Genomic DNA, 23,545 nt, shown 5'->3' on the forward strand with positions numbered 1-23,545 from the left:
GGTATTAGGAGGCTGGGTTTTTGGGATGAAATAAGGTTTATGTGAGGTCATGAGGGTAGAGCCCCCACAATAAGATTAGTGCCCTTATAACAACTGAAAGAGACACCAGAGCTTCCTCTCGCCATTATATAAGTAAACAGTGGGAAGGCCATTATCTGCAAGCCAGGAAGAGGACCCTCAGCAGACATTGGTGAGTGTTCAACACCCTGATCTTGGTCTTTCCAGCCTCCAGTACTGTGAGAAATAAACATCTTTTGTTTAATCCACCCAGTGCATGGTATTTTGTTGTAACAGTTTGTGACATAGTAAGAAATATATATTTCATCTCTGCCCCTGGATTGTGACATAGAGCTCCTAAAACTCTTGTAATTTCCTTAGTGGTAGGGATAAGAAGAGCATCTTTGTTATTTATAATACACCTTTTTCAACCATACCTGAATTTATGCTAATGAGGTGACTCATGATGGGCCCCTAGATAGCTTCATGGATCCTTCTCTGTAGCACTCACACCATATCTCTCTGCATCTTGCTGGGTCATTTGGAAGCTCCTGACAGAGCTCATCAGTACCTTCTCCTTCCAGGCCAGTCATGCCTTTCTCATGTTTTCTCCAGCCATCTTAATCTTTGAAGTTCTCTCTGGTATCCGAAGTCTATCACAGATGCTGGTTCCTTGCAGAAGCCTGTCTAGTTTCTCACAAACAAATGATATTGTAACTGTAATAGGATCATTTCCCAAGGCGCATATAGCACGCCAATAAGTTAAGACACTGGGTTTCAGCAGAAAAAGCATTTTAGTCATAGGGTCACTGAATGAGCAGGTGGGATGAAACTGTAAATCCATTTCCTCAAGTGGTTTGGTGCTAGGGTTATTAAGGGTTTTGAAGTGGGGCAAAGTGTGGGTTGTTGATCATTTGAAGAGTGCAGGGTGAAGTCATGGGACAGGGAGATGAAAAAGCTGTATACTTATGCTAATCCCATTTCTTTGTGGGGGTCTTCAAACTGGTTGCTGAAATTCAGGGTCTGAAAACATGTGATCCTTAAACGTCTTAATGATTCGAATACCAGAGATCCTGTCTCATGACCCTCATGTCAGAAATTCTATCTACAGGAACAATGGGGATGCAAATGGTCAGTATGTAGTGCTATCTGACCTTTAGCAACAAGGAAGTGGGCTAAAGTGCAGCTTGATTAATGCTTAATTATAACTTTATTTCTGTCCAGAACCCAGTATGCAATTCTTGTCAGCCTGTCAGGATGGCTTCAATATCTGTGGCTCCTTGAACCTGTATTACTTTTTTTTGGGAGGGGGTGGACAGAGTCTTGCTCTGTTGCCCAGGCTGGAGTGCAGGGGTGCGGTCTCGACTCACTGTAAGCTCCGCCTCCTGAGTTCACTCCATTCTCCTGCTTCAGCCTCCCAAGTAGCTGGGACTACAGGCGCCTGCCACCACACCTGGCTAATTTTTTGTATTTTTAGTAGAGATGGGGTTTCACCATGTTAGCCAGGATGGTCTCGATCTCCTGACCTCATGATCCGCCCGTTTCGGCCTCCCAAAGTGCTGGGATTACAGGCGTGAGCCACTGCACCCAGCCGAACCTGTATTACTTACTTTTTTGTTCTTATGAAGCACCTTTCCCGTTCTGCCTGTTATAAGCAGTAATTCCTTATCAGTTCTTGCTTTTTAAATTACGAGCATTTTGGAGACAGGGCAAGGAGTTTCCTTTTTTTTTTTTTTTTAATCCTCCACAGCATCTATCTCACTGCCTACCTAGTGAGTGATAGATATTTGATTAGTATTTGTGCCACTTTCCATTATATCTAGGATGACATATAGGTTTCCCTGACTGTGCCATCTGCAGTAGACTGCTAGTGGGTGCTTTGGGTTCTGGATTGAGAGGAAGTATTTGGGCTCAACAGGAAAACCATCCCAAGCAATTGGCAATATCTGCCACTGGTGAGGGGTAAACAGCAGGGGAAGGGGTGCTGATATCCCATTTATTTGCCAATCTTGTTCTACCTTTCTTCTTTACTTTGTTTTCACTTATTTAATTTATTTATTCATTTATTTTTTTCATAACTTGATTCTGTTCATTTCTTGCCCATGGACCTTTTATTTTCATCAAATGCATAGAGTACTTTTTTTCCCATTAAGTCATCGAATTTGTTTCCTTTAAATTACAATTCAAATCTCCCCTATCCTAGAAAGCTCTTTCATAGCAAATCCTAAGTACCAGTACAATGTCTCATTCTAAAATATCCTTAATAGTCAAGGGGAGCATTTTTCTCTTTTCTCCATAGAATGTAAAATGAAAAAATGGTAAAGTATGAAGAGGGATTGTTGGAGATGGGGGTGGTTGCAAAGTTGCTTGCATTCTAAATACATTGAGTCTGGAAAAGAGCCAACCTTTTAAGTGGTTTATTACCATTAACTGAAAGCTAAGGTGACAGAACTTAAAGCTTAAGGTGACTCAGTCAATTGAAATAAACCATAAATGAAGACATAGCATCTCTGAAATTACATTCTAACCAGGGCTCACTTTGGTCAAGACAGGGAAATGGGAACAAGGTTGCTATCTGCTAATCAAGCCAGTGAGAAATGGCTCAAGTAAATAGTCCACCAGTTGGTGAGTCAGCAATCCACACCTGTACTCATTGACATAGAAATTAAAAATCAGAAGAGAAATTATATATCATTTATTCAAATACTCTTATTTTAAGATGAAAACTTAAACCCATAGTAGTTGGTTTATAGATTTCCCAAGGTTATTCCATTCTGAATTATAGCAGAGCAGGCACTAGAACCCAGTTCTTTTCATTGCTTGTTGAGTTCTTTTTCCATATGTGTATTGTGCTTGAGACTGTATTAGACCTACCTTGACCTTGTTGTTTGACCCCAAAGATTGACTAATTGTGAGGATTCCATGTTAGGTAGTGCAGGAGGACAAGATCTAATTGGCCCATGAGTAAGCATGGTGGGGTGGGGGTGGGGCATCAGGAGAAAGAAGAGAGTAAAACAGAACCAATAGGATATATATATATATAGTACATAATATATATAAAATACCGAGTTAGCTCATGTAACTTTAGAGGGTAGCAAGTCCAATTTGCATGGTGGTTTGGCAGGCTGGGGACCCAGGGAGAGCCAGTGTTCCAGCTCAAAAGCCATCAGGGAGGAAGAGCCAATATTGCAGATGAAATCCAAAGGCTGTCTGTTGGAGAATTCTCTTACTCAGTGGAAGGTCAGTCTTTTTGCTCTGTTGAGGTCTTCAACTAATTGGATTGGGCCTACTCACATTATAGAAGGAAAACTGCTTTGTTCTACCAATTAAAATGATACTGTCATCCAAAACACCCTTCCAGAAACACCCAGAATAATGTTTGATCAAATATCTGGGCATCCTGTGGCCCAGTCAAGAAGACACATAAAATTAACCATCACAACATCCTTCACCTTATGTACAAAAAACAGGAGGTATCTTGATTATCCTTCAAATTGTAACATACAGATAGTACCTTAAACATCCTCAATTTAGGCACAACACACAGATAATATCTTGACTCTGCTTTCCACTTAGAAATGACTAGAAATAAAAGCCATTCATTTGCATCCAGTTTTCAAAAGCATATATAATAAAAAAGTAAGACATAACTGAATTTGTTTCATTAGTTGATATTGTTGCTTGAATTAATTATTAGGAAGCAAGCCACTTGAGGGCAGGAACCATGTCTTCTTATCACATATACACTGTGCATACGGAGTAAACAGTGACTTAATCTGGCTTGATCAGTAGTTTCTTTACCAAGAGAGATCTTATACCTGAGATTTTTGAAGTCATTGTCTCCCTAACTTGTTTCACTTGCTGAAAAATTATCCTTAGGGTTTTAAATTTTCGTAGTTGATTTCACCCCAAAGGTGAGTTATTTGGTTGTTGAATGTTGACAGAAACATCTATTCAGCTGTTTCTGGAACTTGGGCCAATGAAGAAGAAGAAAAAAGCCTATGCCATAAACACCATTTAAGATTATTTTTGCATGTGAATAACTCCAATAGGAAATAAATTTGAAATTTGAAGGTTTCCATGCATCTGTTGTTTTTTTTTTTTTTTTTGCAGAGGAAGAAACAGGGTCATTTTGAAATTTTTAAAATGCATATCCAGAGCAATTTCTAGTGGCCAAAATTTACTTTCTATATGCAGAGCCTGGATTTAAGGAACTGTTTCCATGATTCCACGTTTGGGAAATACATAATAGCTCTATTTAATACGTAGTGTGTGGATTTTTGTATATCTCGTTATAAATTTGTTTGAGGTTGGTGATACTATATCACAGGAGGGAAGGAATTAAGTTTTGGTATTGGGGTTTTTCTTGGGATTACTTTTACTTCCTTTCAAACCTACGTTCTTTATTGCTATACTCAAGAAAAGTTAAGCTTCGCTTTTCCTTGTTTCTTGGGTCTCTGGAGCCTATTGCACTTAGTATTCTCCATCCCTTATTGTTACATATAATAAATACATTGTCTGCCTTTAACATTAGATTCTAAGTTGCTGCTGCTGCTTCTTTCTTTTAGGTCAGAGATCTTTTTTTTTTTTTTTTTTTTTTTTTTGAGACGGAGTCTCGTTCTATCGCCCAGGCTGGTGTCCAGTGGCATGATCTTGGCTCACTGCAAACTCTACCTTCATGCCATTCTCCTGCCTCAGCCTCCCGAGTAGCTGGGACTACAGGCACCCGCCACCGCCCCCAGCTAATTTTTTGTATTTTTAGTAGAGACAGGGTTTCACCATGGTCTCAATTTCCTGACCTCGTGATCTGCCCACCTTGGCCTCCCAAAGTGCTGGGATTACAGGTGTGAGACACCGTGGCCCGCCGAGATCTTACTTTTTTAAAAAATACCTGACTCTGGGTCTGGCATATGTTCAGCATTCATTAAATGTTGGATAACTGAACGATAGAAGACAGGTGTTTGTTCAAGCTTGTAGCAGGACCCCTGACATGGAACTCTGGACCTCTTGTCTGGTCTTCTGCCTCCAAGCTGATAGTAGCTCAGTCATTGCAACATGATGTAACTGTGTATCAGAGTTTTTTTTTTTTTTTTTTAAACAACCTTTTGGCCTAGACCAGCTCAGTTGTGGAGAGGAATTAATTCCCCAGTGGCACTAGAGGAATTAAAGACACACATATGGAGAAATATAGAGTGTAGGGTGGGAAATCAGGGGACTCACAGCCTTCAGAGCTGAGAGCCCCAAACAGAGATTTACCCACATATTTGTTGACAGCAAGCCAGTGATAAGCATTGTATCTATAGATTACAGATTAACTAAAACGGGAAACAAAGGGATGGGTCTGGCTAGTTATTTGCAGCAGGAACATGTCCTTAAGGCACAGATGGCTCATGCTATTGTTTGTGGTTTAGCAATGACTTTAAGCGGTTTTCCGCCCTGGATGGGCCAGGTGTTACTTGCCCTCATTCCGGTAAACCCATAACGTTCCAGCGTGGGCGACATAGCCATCATGAATATGTCACAGTACTGCAGAGATTTTGTTTATGGCCAGTGTTGGGGCCAGTAGATTTCGGGGCCTGTTCCCAACACCTGTTCACTCCTGCCCTCATTTTATAAACATAAAATATTCCCATAACTCTTACTCTGATTCCTTTAAGAACCTTCCTGGCTTGAGTATAAGACTTTCTTACACTTGACTTTTTTAGCTTACCTTATGAAAATAATAAAGCCCTTTGAATTTTATAAATTTTATAAATTTATAAATTTTATAAATATGCTTGAAAAACTATCATCTCCCACTTCTGCTACTCCAAAATGCCGATATGTCCCCAAAGTGATGGTATTTTATGCCTGTGAATCACTCATGTCACCTTTTCTCTCATCCATGAGAATGTTGCTTTTAACATCATCAGGAATAGTGACTACATAAGAAGCTTCCCTTTTGAGTTTGTTGCCATGTTTAATCATTCTCTAAGTCAGGAAGGTCTGGCTTAAATTTCTATGGTTGCATCTCTATCCTGGAATATTTAGTTCTGAGAACAACAGATCAATGTCCCTTGTCCTAATCTTTGATGCAGAGAAAGTAAGTTAATGAGGTTGCTGCTTGGGCTTCTTTTTTATTTTTCTAAATTAAAAGACACCTAGCCACTTAAACTTTTCTTCTATGGGACTAATTTAAAATCTCTGTAATTAATTTCAGTTGATATTCTATATGTTATTTTAGACTTTCTCAATTTCTCTGCCCTATTCTTTATGCACTGCCCTGAAAGACCTAAGGCCATCTTAGCTTTCTTTTAAAAGGAGAAAAGTAAAACCTCAGGAATGAAATAACTGCCCAGTGATTCAAAATGATTGGTAAACTAGGACAGAGTCAAAGAACTCAGAGCATACTCAGTGGAGAGAATACTTAGAATCAAGAAATGAGTGTGAGTCCATTGCCTACCTGTTGTGTCACTCCTCTGTCTTCCGTTAAGTGGGAAAAACAACATATTCTGTCCCTTTCCTGGAGACATTATCAAGTTCATAAGAGGCCTTAAAAATAATGGTAAAGTATAAAGCTCTACATAGAAGTATCATTAGAACCTAAGGCAAACAGCAAAATGCCTTCAGAATGTCAAGAGAAAATTAACCCCTAGAAGTGCAATAAAGGAGAGCTTAAGTTTAGCAGTGAGATTAGTGATTTGTTGCTGTAAATCAGTGGTGGAGATAGTGTGTGAGAAAATCAAGGCCAATCAAGAGAATCAGGTGAAAGAATAAGGAAAAGTGTATTAATAAAGTACTCAATCTCCACTGTATGATGGGTAAATTACTGTATGATTTTTCATGAAAATAAATATATGAAAAAGGCATGTAGTAACATTTTTCTCTTTCTTTTGCAAAAAAGTGTACCCCCTGCTCAGAAAGATTAAATTATTTGTCCAAGGCAGCATGGCAATCGGAGGCAGAGCCTGGACAAGGACCATTTCCTCATGTTCTCAGTTCTGTTATATCACTGGAGGTGTAACACAATGAAGTGTAAACTAATGCTTTAGAGTGAAATAGCTGAAGCTGACTAATGAGAAGCTGAAATAGTAATTGTATTATAGAAAGACAATATTAATATAAGTGTATAGTATTGGTGAAATATAGTAAAAAAAACCTCAAAGAGAAAAAAATGTAGTGTTTACCTGCTCACTTCTTGATAATCTGCACTGCACCTGAAGGGGAAAAGAAGTAAATGCTAATATCATGGGGACCAGGAAGAAAATTCCTTATCACCATTTCTTCCCCTAGACCTAATTTATACACCCAAGCTATCTTGGGCTTAAACAAAGTTAACAGAAACAATTCTTTCTTTGTACAGAAATGCTTTGAAAGCATGGTTTACACGTTAATGATTTGAAATTGGGTTATCACGTGTCAGTCCCTTAGAAACAAATCAACGTCCAGTAGATTTTTGGATCTGCAAAGTCAAGGGCTTCCTGCAAACTATAGCAGCATCAGTCAGATTCTAATACCCTTAAAGGCCAGACTGTTGGCTAGCCCTCCCTCTGTGACACATGTCATGTCTCTTTAATTTTAATTACCGTGCTATAATTACTTTTGTGTCAGCTGTACCTTTGCTGAAATTATAAAATTTTATATTTAACCCTATTGTTCTCATTCTGGTAATTCCAGCAGGTTAAATGAGTGGCCCAAATGATATAGTTAGTGACAGTATGGTGTTTAGAGATGAACCCAGATCTCCTGAGTTCAAGTTTTTTCTTTTTTTCATATACGTGTGTGTGTGTGTGTGTGTGTGTGTGTATAATATATATACATTTATATGTTTTTCTATGTTTTTCCTTTCATGTTTTTAAAAACTCCTTCATAGTAGGGACTGTGTTTCTGTCATCCATGACTTAATTTCCTCTTCTTTCAACTGTGGATAACAATCTTTACCTCACAGTGATGTCATGAGAATAAAATGAGACAACAAATTTAAACAATAACACCTTGCTTAGTATGCAGTAGATGCTGAATTGAAGTTAATTCCCATTCATTCCTTTACTCTAGGTAACCTACAGACATTTGTTCAGTGAACTTTGTTTGATGACTTTTCTCCACTCCACTAGAAGCCAGTGGTTCTCAACCTTGACTGCAATTGGAACCACTTGGGAAGTTTTAAAAGCTACTCATGCTTGGATGGGTCCCAACCCCCAGAGGTTCTGATTTAATGGCTCTGGGGAAAAGAATAGCTGGACAAAGTATCTAAAAATGTCTTCAGGTAATTTAAATGTGCAGCTAAAGATTGAGAACCATCCCTGAAATTATTGTAAGTGATGGAGTTTTTCCTCAGCTTTACAATCCCAGAATCAATCTCAGCATTTCATTGTAGGCACTAAATTTTGGATTGCTTAGAAGGACTTCAGTGGCTGTAGACTCACTCCCTTTTTACTGTATTTGTTCATTCATTCATTAACTCATTCAAGTAATGAAATAATGGCTTATTATAGATTGATTTTCCCTCAGATTTAATATAAGCTATACCATATATTTACCAAGTCATTTTTTCTTTCATCACAACACATCATTTCTTGTGTGTTTTTGTCTTTCTGTTTTCAATCTCAGGCTTCCAGTAAAGTTGGAGATTAGGTCTCAATTAAAATTAATAAGCTCGTGTACTTATTCATGGATGCAACAAACATTTATTGAGTCCCTACTATATGCTGGCCACTGTGCTGGGCAAAAGAAATACAAAGATGAAAAAGATAAAAGGTGTTTTCAAGGAGTAGCAAGTCTGTTGAGATGATCATATAAATAAATAATTGTGATTATCACTTGATAAGGGTTTTGGGAGGAGTATAGCCCTTTTAATTGCCCAGTACCAGCTATTTCTTTTTTCCTTTATCTCTTTGATTTAGTTTTACTCTCTATATTATTTAGTATAAAGGTAGAATTTCACTTTGAATCTGGATGGAGTCTTTTATGGAAGTAGTTGGAGAGAAACATCCAAACTGATAAACAAATAAATAAGAAGGCATTCTTATATGCCTGACATTCTCTAGATAAAATCCTAAAAACTATCTGTCTTTGTTTCTATCAGAGGAATGTTTTTGCCATGGCATTTTGATAGCATTGATTATTTATAGGCAAGATTTATGTCTGTTCTCAGTCCTTTTCCATTAGCCCATAAAGTGTATTTTAAATTATGCAGAGTTTCAGAATGCACTTTCCTAATTATAAGGGAAACATTCTTGGCAATTTGTGGAGATTAAACTTCTTTCCTTATCTTCTGTCTGAATTATACCCACCCATGCACCTGCTACCCTGGAAGGTCCTATGGGATGCATTTATTTTAGATGATAAGGCCGGGATGTGGCTTTCATTTGGCCAGTGAAAATAAAATGTTATACCCTGAGATAGAGGAGGAATGATAGAAAACACGTTAGTTTAATATTTTCTACTCCTATTTATTCAATGGGTATTTGGCCATTATGACTCATTGTAAACTGGAAACCAAGTTACAGGTTCTTAGTATATGGTGTTAGTCAATCATTTTACAAAGCTCTCTGAGAGTAGGATCAAAAAGGAAAAAATAATTGGAATGGGTCACAAAGATCCAGATAATCAGTTGTGGTTAGATAAAGGCATCTCAGAGGAGAGCTGAGCATGAAGGTCCTGGAACCATGTGTATCTGTGCCTACATAAGAGTTATGGTGGAGAGATAAAGGTGATGCTGAAAGATAGATAAAGAAGGTGAACCTCTTCTGCATCATTTTTAGTTTGTCTAGGGCAGGGTTTCTCAACCTCTGTGTAAATGAAATTTCAGGCTGGATAATCCTTTGTTGCGCAGACTGTTCTATGCATTGCAGGATGCACAGCAGCATCTCTATCCTCTACTAACTAGATGGTAATAGCACCTCCAGTTGTGACAACCAAAAATGTTTCTAGACATTGCCCAAATCCCCTTCTTGGCAAAATTGCCTGGTGGAGAACCTACTAGCCTAGGGCAAGCTAAGGAATATTAAAGCCAACCAATTTAAAAAATTAAAATCTGTAACATAGTCCCAAGTGACACTCTGCTGGATAGTAAAGTCAGAGACCCTGAATATATTATTCACCGTTATTGCTAAGTAAGCAAATTAAGACCGAATTGTGAATGAAAACAGTTAACAAATGGCTTGTGTATGGAAAGATTAGAGCTTGAATATTGTTTATGCAGGAACTATCATTTTTCTAAGGACTCAGGGGGATAGGAGTACAGATTTTAAATGCAAATATTCTGGGTTTGATTTTGTTTGTCTGTATACACACACACACACACACACACACACACACACACACCCCTATAATATTTATTTGATACCTGGCACTTCAGGTCCTTGGGATGCATTTGTGAGCAAAACAATCACTTCTTTGCTGAGTAACTTTGGACAAGTCATTAGTTTCTGGGACTCTCAGTTTTCTCACCTATGAAATCATCATCATCATCATCATCATCCTCTGCCTACTCCATTATCAATCAAGGATCAAAAGATGCCACATAGGAGAGTGATGGCAGCAAGATGACAGAATAGGAAGCCTCAGACTGTGTTCCTCACAAAAACACTGACAACAAATATATAAAGTCCAAAACCTTTATGAGAACCCCAGAAGCCAGTTAGAAAGTCTCAGTACACAAGGAAAGCTCCAAGCCAAGAATGGCTGCATTAAAATGGGTAAGAAAAGCTGTTTAATTTCAACCACATCAGTCCCTCCTCAAAGCTGACATAGCTTGTGTTCTGAAGGAAAAGCCCAACTCTTAACTTATGTTTGAGGAAGTTAAGAAAAGAGTGGAATGTACATATCATGTTCTGGCTCTTTGGTGGGCTGCCCAAAGGACTGATTTCTGTCTTGCCTGACTCAGAACTCTGCCGTGGGAAATGGGCATAGTTTGGATGTGGGGGCCGCTGAGAACAAGAGTGCTCAGTGGCTTGTGACAGTGCCAGAGAACTTATAATATCTCAGAAGCTGGCACCACTCACCATAATCCAGAGAAAGCACTCAGCTGCGGGTTCTTCTTAGGAGGGAAAGAGAAGAGTGGAACATGAGTGCTATATTCTGGCTTTGGGGGAGGCTGCCTGAGGAAGTGCTTTCTGTCTCATCTGGAGCACTAATGGAATAAGCCTGTCCTGGATGCCTGGGATTGCAAACAAAAAAAGAGAACTCAGTGGCTTCTTGCAGATCCAGAGAACCTGCAGTACTTCAGACAGACACTAGAGAGAACAAAAGACTGCAGGCTCCCGAAAAACAAAAAATGAAACACAGTAAACCTCTTTAATTAGGAAATTACATGCACAAGCATCAAGAAAATTTATCCTCATTAAAGTTTTTGGAGGCCCTCTGAATTTCCAGTTTGCTGATTGATGAAGGCCTTTGCCTGTATAAAGCCATTCTATAAATACAGGGTGACATGGTTTGGCTGCGCACCCTCCCGAATCTCATCTTGAATTGTAGTTCGCATAATCCCCGCCTGTCATGGGAGGGATCTGGTGGGAGGTAATTGGATCACGGGGGCAGTTACCTCCGTTCTGTTCTCATGACAGTGAGTTGAGTTCTCATGAAACCTGATAATTTTATAAGGGGCTTTTTTCCACCTTCACTCTGCATTTCTCTTTGCTGCCACCATGTGAAGAAGGATGTGGTTGCTTCCCCTTCCAACATGATTTTAAATTTCCTGAGGCCTCCCCAGCCATGCTGAACTGTGAGTCAGTTAAGCCTCTTTCCTTTATAAATTACCTAGTCTTGAGTATATCTTTAGTTGGAGCATGAGAATGAACAAATAGACTGGGAGAGTTGGCTGTTCTTGTCAAATGCAAAAATTAACAAAAAATAACAAGGCGCACAAACTGAGAAACATGACTCAATAAGAGTCAATGAGAGTCAATATAAACTGCCAGAAGCTGACAATAATGACATAAAGATTTATAAATTACCTAACAAAGAATTTGAAATATTTATCTTAAAGAAGCTCGGTATGCTGCAAGACAGCACAGAGAGACAACTAAACAAAATCAGGAAAATGATGCATGAACAAAATAGATATAAACAAAGAGAAACTATAAAAAAGAACCCAAATAGAAATTATGAAGCTAAAAAATATTATAACTGAATTTAGAAATTCACTAGAAGGGATCAACAGCAGGTTTGATCAAGCAGAAGAAAGAATTAGCAAACTTGAAAATGGGCCATTTGAAATTAGTCAGAAATAAAAAGAGAAAATAACAATGAAGAAATTCTAAAGGACTAAATGAAGAAAAGTGAAGAAACCTAAAGGAGATAATTAAGCAGACTAACACACACATTGGGAACTGAAGAAGAAGAGAATGAAGTAGAGACCTTGTTTGAAGAAATAATGGAAGAAAACTTCTTAAATCAAAAGAAGTAAATGAACATCCAAATTCAAGAGGATCAAAGGAATTCAATTAGGATAAATCCCCAAAGGCCCATACTGAGACATATCATAAACTGTCAAAAGTTATAAACAATAAGAGAATATTGAGAGCAGCAAGAAAATATTTGCTCATCATGTACAAGAAAGACTCTATAAGATTATCATTGGATCTCTCAGCAGAATCATTACAGGTCAGAACAGAGTGGGATGATAAATTCAAGGTGCTGCTGGATTCGGTTTGCAAGTAAATTGCTGAGAATTTTTGCATCAGTGTTCATCAAGGATATTGGCCTGAAGTTTTTTTTTCATGTTTTTGTCTCTGCCATGTTTTGGTATCAGGATGATGCTGATCTCATAGAATGAGTTGGGGAGGAGTATCTCCTCCTTAGTTTTTTGGAGTAATTTCAATAGGATTAGCACAAGCTCTTCTTGTACTAATGTCTAGTAGAATTCAGCTCTGAATCCACCTGGTCCAGGGCTTTTCTTGGTTGCTAGGTTCTTTATTACTGATTCTGTTTCAGAAGTTGATATTGGCCTATTCAGGATTTCAATCTCTTTCTGATTCAATCTTGGGAGATTGTGTGCTTCTAGGAATTTATACATTTCTTCTAGATTTTCTAATTGTGTGCAAAGAGTTGTTCATAGTAGTCTCTAAGGATCTTTTGTATTTCTGTGAGATCAGTTGGAATACCGCTTTTGTCATTTCTGATTGTGCTTATTTGGTTCTTCTCTTTTTTTTTCTTTGTTAATGTAGCCAGAAGTCTATCAATTTTGCTTATTCTTTCAAAGAACCAACTCTTGGTTTCATTGATCTTTTGTATGGATTTTTGCATCTCAATTTCATTCAGTTCTTCTCTAATTCTAGTTATTTATTTTCTTCTGGAAGCTTTGGGTTGATTTGTTCTTCATTTTTCTAGTTTCTATAGGTATGAAGTTAAACTGTTAATTTGAGATCTTATTTCTTGATGAAGGAATTTAGCACCATAAACTTTCCTCTTAACACTAGCTGCATCTCAGAGATTTTGGCAAGTTGTGTCCCTATTTTCAGAATTTTAAAATTTATTCCTTAACTTTGATGTTAACCCAAGAGTTATTCAGGGATAAGTTGTTTAATTTCCTTGCAGTTGTGTAATTTTGAGAGATCTCGGTATTGATTTCTATTTGTATTGCACTGTGGTCCAAAAATGTGCTTGGAATAATTTTGACACCTTTTACGTTCAACAGAGTACTGGAAGTCCTAGCCACAGCCATAAGGCAAGTTAAATAAATAAAAGGCATCTAAATAGATAAAGAAGAAGTCAAACTATCTCTCTTCAAGGATGAAATGATTCTATACTTAGGAAATCCTTATCACTCTGCCAAAAGGCTTCTAAAACTAATAAATGACTTTAGTAAAGTTTCAGGATACAAAATCAATGTATAAAAATTAATAGCATTTCTATACACAAACAAGATTCAGGCTGAGAGTGAAATCAAGAACACAATCCCACTTACAACAGCCACAAGGAAAATGAAATACCTAGGAGTACAACTAACCGAGCAGATCTTTACAAGGAGAACTACACAACATTACTGTTGAAAAATTTCAGAGATGACACAGATAAATGGAAAAACATTACATACTGATGGATTGGAAGAATCAAGATTGTAAAAATGGCCATACTGCCCAAAGCAATTTACAGATTCAGTGCTATACCTATCAAACTCCCAATGTCTTCACGGAATTAGAAAAAACGATTCTAAAATTCATATAAAACAGAAAAAAAGAGACCAAATGGCCAAAGCAATCCTAAGCCAAAAGAGCAAAGCTGGTGGAATCATACTACCCAACTTCAAGCCATACGATAAGGCTACAGTAATCAAAACAGCATGGTACTTGTACAAAAATAGACACATGGACCATTGGAACAGAATAGAAAACTCAGAAATAAAGCCACACACCTACAATCATCTGATCTTTTACAAGGCTGACAAAAGCAAGCAATGGGGAAAGCACTTCCTATTCAATAAATGTTGCTGGGATAACTGGCTAGCCATATGAAGAAGATTGAAGCTGGATCCCTACCTTTCACTATATTAAAAGATTAACTCAAAATAGATCAGGATTTAAATGTAAGACCTCAAACTATAAAAATCCTAGAGGACAACCAAGGAATTGTTGTTCTCCACATCAGCCTTGAGAAATAATTTTTGGCTAAGTCCCCAAAAGCAATTGCAACAAAAATAGACAAGTGGGACCTAATTATACTGAAGAATTTCTGCTCAGCAAAAGAAAGTATCAACAGAGTAAGCAGATAACCACAAAATGGGAGAAGATATTCACAAACTATAGATCTGACAAAGGCCTAATATACAGCATCTATAAGGAACTTAAATCAACAAGAATAAAACAACCCCATCAAAAATGGCAAAGGACATGAACACTTCTCAAAAGAAGACATACAAGTGGCAGCCAACAAACATGAAAAAGTGCTCAGCATCACTAATCATCACAGAGATGCAAAAATCAAAACCACAAGGAGATACCATCTCACACCAGTCAAAATGGCTTTTATTAAAAAGTCAAGAAAAACAACAGATGCTGGAAAGGCTGTGGAGAAAAGGGAACACTTACACACTGTTGGTAGGAATGTAAATTAGTTAAATCACTGTGGAAAGCAGTCTTAAGATTTCTCAAAGAACTTAAAACAGAGCTACCATTCATCCCAGTAATCCCATTACTGGGTATATACTCAAAGCAAAATAAATTATTCTGCCAAAGGACACACAAATGCTCTTATGTTCATTGCTGTGCTATCCACAGTAGCAAATATGTGGAATCTACCAAGGTGCCCATCAATGGTAGATTAAATAAAGAAAATGTGGTACATATACACCATGGAATACTACACAGTCATAAAAAAGAACGAAATCACGTGGGGCATGCTGGCTCACACCTGTAGTTCCAGCACTTTGGGAGGCCAAGGCGGGCAGATTACGAGGTCAGGAGTTCAAGGCCAGCCTGGCCAACATGGTGAAACCCCGTCTCTACTAAAAATACAAAAATTAGCTGGGCGCAGTGGCTCATGTCTGTAATCCTAGCACCTTGGGAGTCCAAGGTGGGTGGATTACGAGGTCAGGAGTCCGAGACCAGCCTGCAACATGGTAAAACTCCGGTTCTACTAAAAATACAAAAATTAGCCTGGCGTAGTGGTGCGCGCCTGTAATCCCAGCTACTCAGGAGGCTGAGGCAGGAGAATCGCCTGAACCCAGGAGGCAGAGGTTGCAGTGAGCTGAGATCACATCACTGCACTCCAGCCTGGGTGACAGAGCAAGACTCCATCTCAAAAAAAAAAAAAAAAAAAAAAAAAGAAGAAGAAGAATGAAATCATGTCCTTTGCACAAACATGGATGCAGCTGGAGGCTATAATTCTAAGCAAAGTAACACAGAAACAGAAAACCAAATACCACAAATACCACATGTTTTCACTTACAATTGAGCTAATCATTGAGCACACATAAACATGATATAGGAATAATAGAGAAAGCAGGCTACTACAGGGAGGAGGGAGAAGGGGTCGTGTGTTAAAAAAAAAAAAAACCACACCTATTAGGTACTATGCTCACTGTCTGGGTGATGGGAATCAGACCCCTAATCTCAGCATCATGCAAAATTTCTATGTAACAAACCTGCCAATGTACCCCTGTGTCTAAAATAAAAGTTGAAATTTAAAACCAAAAAAACACACATCAAGAATCCAGAAAAACAAAGTAAATGCCCATGACTGAATGACATCACTGGAGAATCCTATTAGACTTTTAAAGAACTACCACCAGCTTTGCAGACGCCTCTGCTATCGGGTGCCCTGTAGTATCAGCCATCGTCAACCCCGCCGTGTTCTTCGACATCGCCGTGGATGGCGGGCCCTTGGACCGCGTCTCCTTGGAGCTGTTTGCAGACAAGTTTCCAAAGACAGCAGGAAACTTTCATGCTCTGAGCACTGGAGAGAAAGGATTTGCTTATAAGGGTTCCTGCTTTCACAAAATTATTCCAGGTTTTATGTGTCAGGGTGGTGACTTCACACATCATAATGGCACTGGCAGCAAGTCAATCTATGGGGAGAAATTTGATGATGAGAACTTCATCCTAAAGCATACAGGTCCTGGCATCTTGCCCATGGCAAATGCTGAACCCAACACAAACGGTTCCCAGTTTTTTCATCTGCACTGCCAAGACTGAGTGGTTGGATGGCAAGCATGTGGTCTTCAGCAAGGTGAAAGTAGGCATGAATATTGTGGAGGCCATGGAGCGCTTTGGTCCAGGAGTGGCAAGACCAGCAAGAAGATCAGCATTGCTGACTGCAGACAACTCTAGTAAGTTTGACTTGTGTTTTATCTTAACCAACAGACCATTCCTTCTGTAGCTCAGGAGAGCACCCCTCCACCCCATTTGCTCTCAATATCCTAGAATGTTTGTGCTCTCGCTGCAGTTCCCTTTGGGTTCCATGTTTTCCTTGTTCCCTTCCATGCCTAGCTGGATTGCAGAGTTAAGTTTATGATTATGAAATAAAAACTAAATAACAACAAAAAAAGAACTACCACCAATTCTTCTTAAACTCTTCCAAAATATTGAAAAGGAGGGAACATTTTCAAACTCATTCTATAAGAGCAGCACCACCCTGATGCCAAAGTCAGAAAAAGATATGAGAAAGAAAACTACTGCAGGCCAATATCCCTGATGAACGTTGACATAAAAATCTTCAACAAAACATTAGCAAATGAAATCCAACAATATATTAAAAGGATTATATATTATGACTAAGTGGGATTTAGTTTGAACATGAAAATTCATCAATGTAATACATTACATTAACAGATTAATACAGAAAATCGTGACAAAATTTAATATTCTTTTATGATAACAACAAACTAAGAATAGAAATATTTTACTTCAACTTAATAGATGCCGTAGGTAAAAGGCCCACCGCTAGCATCATACTCAAAATGGCAAAAAGCTAAAACCATTTTCTCAAAAGCAGGAACAAAGTAAGGATCCCTGTTCTCACCACTTCTACTCAACATAATACTCAAAATCCTATTCAGAACAGTACGGCAAGAAAAAGAAATAAAAGCACCCAATAGGAAAAGAAGCAGCAAAATGTTCTTTGTTTGTAGACAACGTGATCTTGTATGTAGAAAACCCTAAAGGTATTACACACATTTCACACAAAACCTGTCAGAAGTAATAAATTTAGCAAAGTTGCAGAATTAAAATTTAACACAAAAAAAACAGTTAAAGTTCTATAAACTAACAATGAACAATCTAAAAGGAAATTTTTTTAAAAATTACATTTAAAATAGCATCAAAAAATTAAAATACCTAAAAATAATCTTAACCAAACTGAAAAATTTACATCCAAAACTGAAATATTGATAAGTTGGAAAAAGACAAATAAATGGCAAGATATTTTGTGTTCCTGCTTGGAAAGAATTCATGTTGTTAAAATGTTTATACTACCCAAAGTGATCTATAGATTCAATACAATCCCTATTAAAATCTCAACAGCGTTTTTTTTTTTTTTTTTTGCAGAAATTGCAAAAAATTTCAAAAATTAATCTGGGATTACTAAAGGCCCCAAATAGTCAAAACAATCTTGAGATAGAAAAACCTGGATGCCTCACACTTTCTGATTTCAAAACATTTAAAATCTGCAATATTTAAAACAGCATGATAATGACATTAAGACACATAAAGGCCAATGGAACAGCGTAGAGAGCCCTGAAATAAATCCTCATGTACACGATCAAATGATCCTCAATAAAAGTGTCAAGGCTACACAATGGGGAAAGGGTAGTCTCTTCAAAAAATGGTGCTGGAACGACTGGATGTTTACAGGCAGATAAATGAAACTGGGCCCTTATCTTACACTATATACAAAAATGAATTCAAAGTGGATTAAAGATCTAAAAATGAGAACTGAAGCTATAAGACTTCTAGAAGAGAACATGGGGGAAAAGTTTGAGCTATTGAATTTGGCAATGATTTCTTGGCTATGACGCCAACAGCACAGACAACAAAAGTGAAAATAGACAAATGGGACTACAGCAAATGGAACAACTTCTGCACAGCAAAGGAAGCAAACAAGTGAGTGAAAAAGCATGGGAGGAAATACTTGCAAACCATAAGTCTGATGGGGGGGTATTATCCAGAATATATAAAGGACTCCTATATCTTAACAAAAATAGAAACAATCCAGTTAAAAAAAAAAAGGAATTGGGCAAGCACTTCTCCAAATAAAATATAAAAATGGTCAATAAGTGTGTTGAAAGATACCCAACATCAGTAATAATTAGGGAAATGCAAATTAAAACCACAATGAGATATTGCTTCACACCTGTTAGAATGGCTGCCATCACTAAAACAAAAAATAACAAGTGGTAGTGAGAATGTGGAGAAATTAGAACACTTGTACACTGTTGGTGGGAATATAAAATGGTGTAGCTACTATAGGAAACTGTGGAGGTTATTTTAAAAGTTAGAAATAATATGTGATCCAGCAATATCACTTCTGGGTATCTAAAATATTTGAAAAAGGATCTCCAAGAGATACTTGCACATTGGTGTTCATGGCAGCACTATTCACAATAGCCAAGAGATGGAAACAACCTAAATGTTCATCAACAGATGAATAAAGAAAATGTATCATATACATATAATGAAATATTTTCAGTCTCACAAAAAGAAGGAAATAATGTCACATGCTTCTACATGGATCACCCTTGAACAAATTATGGTAATTGAAATAAGCCAGTCACAAAAGACAAACACTACATAATTCCACATATATGAAGTATCTAAAATAGTCAAACTCTTAGAAACATAAAGTAAAATGGTGGTTGCCAGGGGTTGGGGCAAGAGGTAAATGGGAGTTGCTTAATGGATATATAGTTTCAATTTTGCAGGATGAAAAAGTTCCAGAGTTCTGTTATACAATGTGTTTATATTAATACTACTGTATTGTGCACTTAAAAATCATTAAGTTGGTAACTTTTATGTTATGTGTTTTTGACCGCAATAAAAAAGTAATTCATATGTCTAGTACAATGCCTGTAAAGAGTAATAAAAATATAATTACTATAAAACTGATTATAATAATGATTTACCAATCAGAGTAAAAGTCACCAACTTAACCTTTCAGAAGAGGAAAGTGAGTTCCAGAACATTCAAGAAACTTCAATAATAGAGCTCAGACAGGGCTTAAGCCACCTGCCTTCCTACTCTATCCCTCTCGTTGTGAGGAAGATTTAAGCAGTATAGATGTTAATAAAAAAGATTGGAAGTTCTGAAGATCCATTCTTTTAATGAAACATTTATAGTTATTAGGAGCTTAACAAAGATTACCCACATGCCATAGATAGTTGAATTAACACTATCTATGTGTTAATAACACATATCAATGTGGCATTCATAAGTACCATAGTCCATATGATTATCTGGGTGGGGTAAAGAGTTTTAAAGCATGAAAGAAAAATGAAAGAAACACCAAAACAGTAGGAGCATTCTTCAAAGAGGTCTTTAATTCACAGATTTTTAAGTCTTTTCTCCAACAAATCATAAGGCAGAAATTTCACACTAGGGTGAAGAGAGAACACGGAGAAACAGCTAATAGCCTTAAAAAGAGACATTTTAATGAACTCTACAGATGTTATTAGAATTTTTAATTTAAGTGAAAAAAAGAAATTTTAAAAAGTGCCTGAAAATGTATGACAGAAAAAAATCATTTAAATTCACCCACAAGCTCCTGTTAAAATGCCCTCTTGTTAGACTCCATACCTCTCTCTGTAAGCCAAAAAGACAATCAGAAAAGCCAACTGTTTCCTGGCCTCCTTATTAGTATTTGCAGGAGTGGAAAGGGAACTCCCAAACTCTTCATGAGCTGGCAAGACTCCGATCTCTTCCTCTTTTCACACCCGATACTCACAGCCTCACCATTGCCATCTTTCTTGAGACCATGAAAACTCACCTTATTATACCCTTTCTCCTTGTTTATGTCACCAAAAGAAGCACAGTTCTCCCTGGTCAACTCTCCTCCCTGTTTGGCTCCACACAGTCATTATCTGCCCAAACCTCTGCCACATACATATTTAGTAACCCCTTTCCTTGCTTTATTTTTCTCCATAGCACTTATCAACAGCCACCTAATCATACATTTTGTCTACTTCTTCGGTTTGTTTTCCTTTCACACTAAAATCTAAGTTTTATGAGCTTGGAGATAGGTGTACATTTTGTTCAGGGCCATATATTCATCACCTAGAACAGTGCCAGGCACGTGGGAAGCATTCAATAACTATTTGGTAAATTTAAAAAATGTACTTGATAAATACACTTGGATAGTGTGCTAGAGATTTTGCTAGTGAGGCATTGAGGGAGAGGGGAGTGGAACTAGAGATGAATTGGTTAGGATCTCTGCCCTCAAAGAGTCTGCAGTCCAGGAGGAGAGAAGATTGTCATACAAGCTAGAGTTGAACAAGTGTTTTAAGAAGTGTAGTAAAGACTTCCAATGCTCCCCTCAGTCTGGTTCTCCTCTCTTTCCAGGCCAGTGCAACGATACCAATTTTCCATGCCCTTTGCCATTAAGCAGGGACATGTGACTCTTGTTCTGACCAAGGGGTTGTTAAGCCGAAGTGATGTGTGTCACATTTGGACCTAGGACTTAATTGTTAGTGCAAGAATCTCCAGTGTTGTCTTCTTGCACTGTTTACAACTGAAGAGATGGCATGTTCTAGATAGTGCAGCTTGAGGATGGAGAATCTTGCATCAGCCTGGATTGATGAGGGGCTGTGTGGAGACGGTTTCCCTGAACCTTCAGCAGGTTGTTTCACTAAAGAGAAATAAACTTTTGTTACATTATCTCAGCTTTTAAGTGATTGAGATTTGGGATAATTTGTTCCTTTAGCGTAATGTAGACTACCTTGATTAATATAAGGAGTATAGAAGATGTCATTTTTCCTGAAGTCAGAATTATAGCACATGTCTTGAAAAATGGTCTATTAGAGCAGAACATGTAAAATTAGGAACACCCTCCATGGCTTGGAAAACTGTGAAGACACCTCTCTAAGTTTAAAAGAAGAGGAAGGTTCTATGTTTTCTTGTACAGTTGGACGCTGTATTACTTTCTCCTCTGACTTCAGAATGGCAAATAGAGCCAGGAAAAGCTGGAATAAAAGTTGAGAAAATATACCCTTCATAATGGCAATCCATCTGGAAGGTCATGAATTGAAAAATAGTTCCTGAGCGTCTATTCTATGCCCACCATTAGGTTAGGCACAAAAGGAGATGCCAGCGAAGACACAGTTCTCACTCTGAAGGAGACTATGGTCGTTACTGTAAATAGCTGCCAAATTGTCTACTGCAATATCTGCAAGGATTGTAAGAATTTAAAGGAAAGGAAGATCTCTGAAGTTTGGAGGGATCTAGGAAGAATTCTTAGAGGTGAGGGTTTGAAGTTGGCCTTAAAGAATTGGCAGGATTTAACACTACTAGTTAATTGTAAAAATATATTTTTATGTATGTAATGTAATGTATTCTTATTAGACACAATGTGAATATCTATGTAGCCTATTCAATCTTTCAGCAATCCTGTAGACACTATCTCCATTTTACAGATAAGAAGACTGAGGCTTGGAGATGTTAAATAATTTATCCAAGCCACAGAGCTGGGATTTAAACCCAGGTTTATTTCCTGCCAAAGTAGATGCTCTTAATCCTTGAAGTTAATTGTGCTGAGATGGAAAGCTGAGGAGAGAGTCTTTGGGGATGAAGCATGCTTTGGAGTGAACCTTACTTGCTTTGCTCTCAGACATTTCAGGGCCCTGACTTTATTGATTTTTCAGCAGAAATTTGAATATTTTTTTCTTCTGGTTGTGCAGGAGGAGCTAGTTGGTCTTTAAATGGTCCCCAAAGTAATGAAGCTGCCCAGCTATTAGCTTTGCTGAGTGAGCCACCTCTTCATATTTCCCAGGTACAAAAACCCATTTCAACTCTTCACCTACACAGTTATGACAAGGAAAGTAAGTGGTGGGTGAAACTGGTCCCAGTTTATCCAGACAGCTGGTTTCTCTAAGGGGATCATCAGTGACCTTGTAGCAGAAAACCTAATATTGCCTGCTGGGATTCCAGTAGGACTCCAGCTACACAGTTTTATCTGTGGTGGGTGATTGAGCATTGTGGGTTCAGTTTGGGTCCTTGCAGGAATCATACAGCATGCTCAGAGGGCTGACTGAAGAGAATTTAATGAAGAAACTGTGTGTAAAGCTGAGGGTATCGTAAGGGAACCAACACAGAATAACGAGGCCCCAGGGATTAACAACGTCAAGAAGCCATTGACACGTCTAGGCAAATAAAGGGAACAGTAAGCTAAACCCAAGTGTGATAGACAGAAGAATGGCTCCTTGAAGATGTCTGTGCCGTAATCCTCAGGGTCTGTGAATATGCTGCCTTACATGGCAAAAGAGACTTTGCACATGTGATTAAGGTTGAGGACTTTCAGATAAGGACATTATCCTGAATTATGCAGATGGGCCTAATTTAATCACTTAAGTCATTAAAGGAAAAGAACGTTTCCCTGCTATGGCCAGAGATGTGATGAAGAAAGAAAGGCCAGAGAGAGGCAACGTTGTTGGCTTTGAAGATGGAAGAAAGGGGCCATGAGCCAAGGAACATGGGCAGACCCAACAAGCTGAGAATGGTAAAGCAGAATTCTCAAGAGCCTCCAGTTCAGAGTGCAGCCTTGCCAACAGTTTGATTTCAGTCCATCAAGACTTCTGTCAGACATCTGACCTACAGAACTGTAAGATAATACATTTATATTGTTTTAAGCCACCAAGTTTGTGCTAATTTGTTTCAGTAGCAACAGAAAACTAAAACAACAAGTAAGAGAGGCTACCTATAAGAGCTGTGGGCCCACATAAGGAAATGCCGCCACTGCCCAGCTATATTCCAGCAGTTAGGGAGGGAAATAAATGCTCTGACCTCTCTTTTTTCCCCTGCCCTGGCAGTGTTTCCCATTAGCTGAACCCATTAGCCAAAAGCTATAGGGCAAAACAGCCTAGATGATGCAATTCCTAAAGTTTAGTCCTCTAGAGTACAGAGCAGGGTAGAAAAGGGCAGAGATG

General features: G+C 38.1%; 1 pseudogene; it reads left to right on the forward strand.

Moving 5' to 3' along the window:
* The window catches only part of PPIAP33 (peptidylprolyl isomerase A pseudogene 33), a 57,933-nt pseudogene extending 40,979 nt beyond the window's left edge, over window positions 1-16,954 (forward strand).
* The last annotated feature ends 6,591 nt before the right edge of the window (window positions 16,955-23,545 follow it).

Source organism: Homo sapiens, chromosome 9, assembly GCF_000001405.40.
Source record: "Homo sapiens chromosome 9, GRCh38.p14 Primary Assembly".
NCBI lineage: Eukaryota > Metazoa > Chordata > Mammalia > Primates > Hominidae > Homo > Homo sapiens.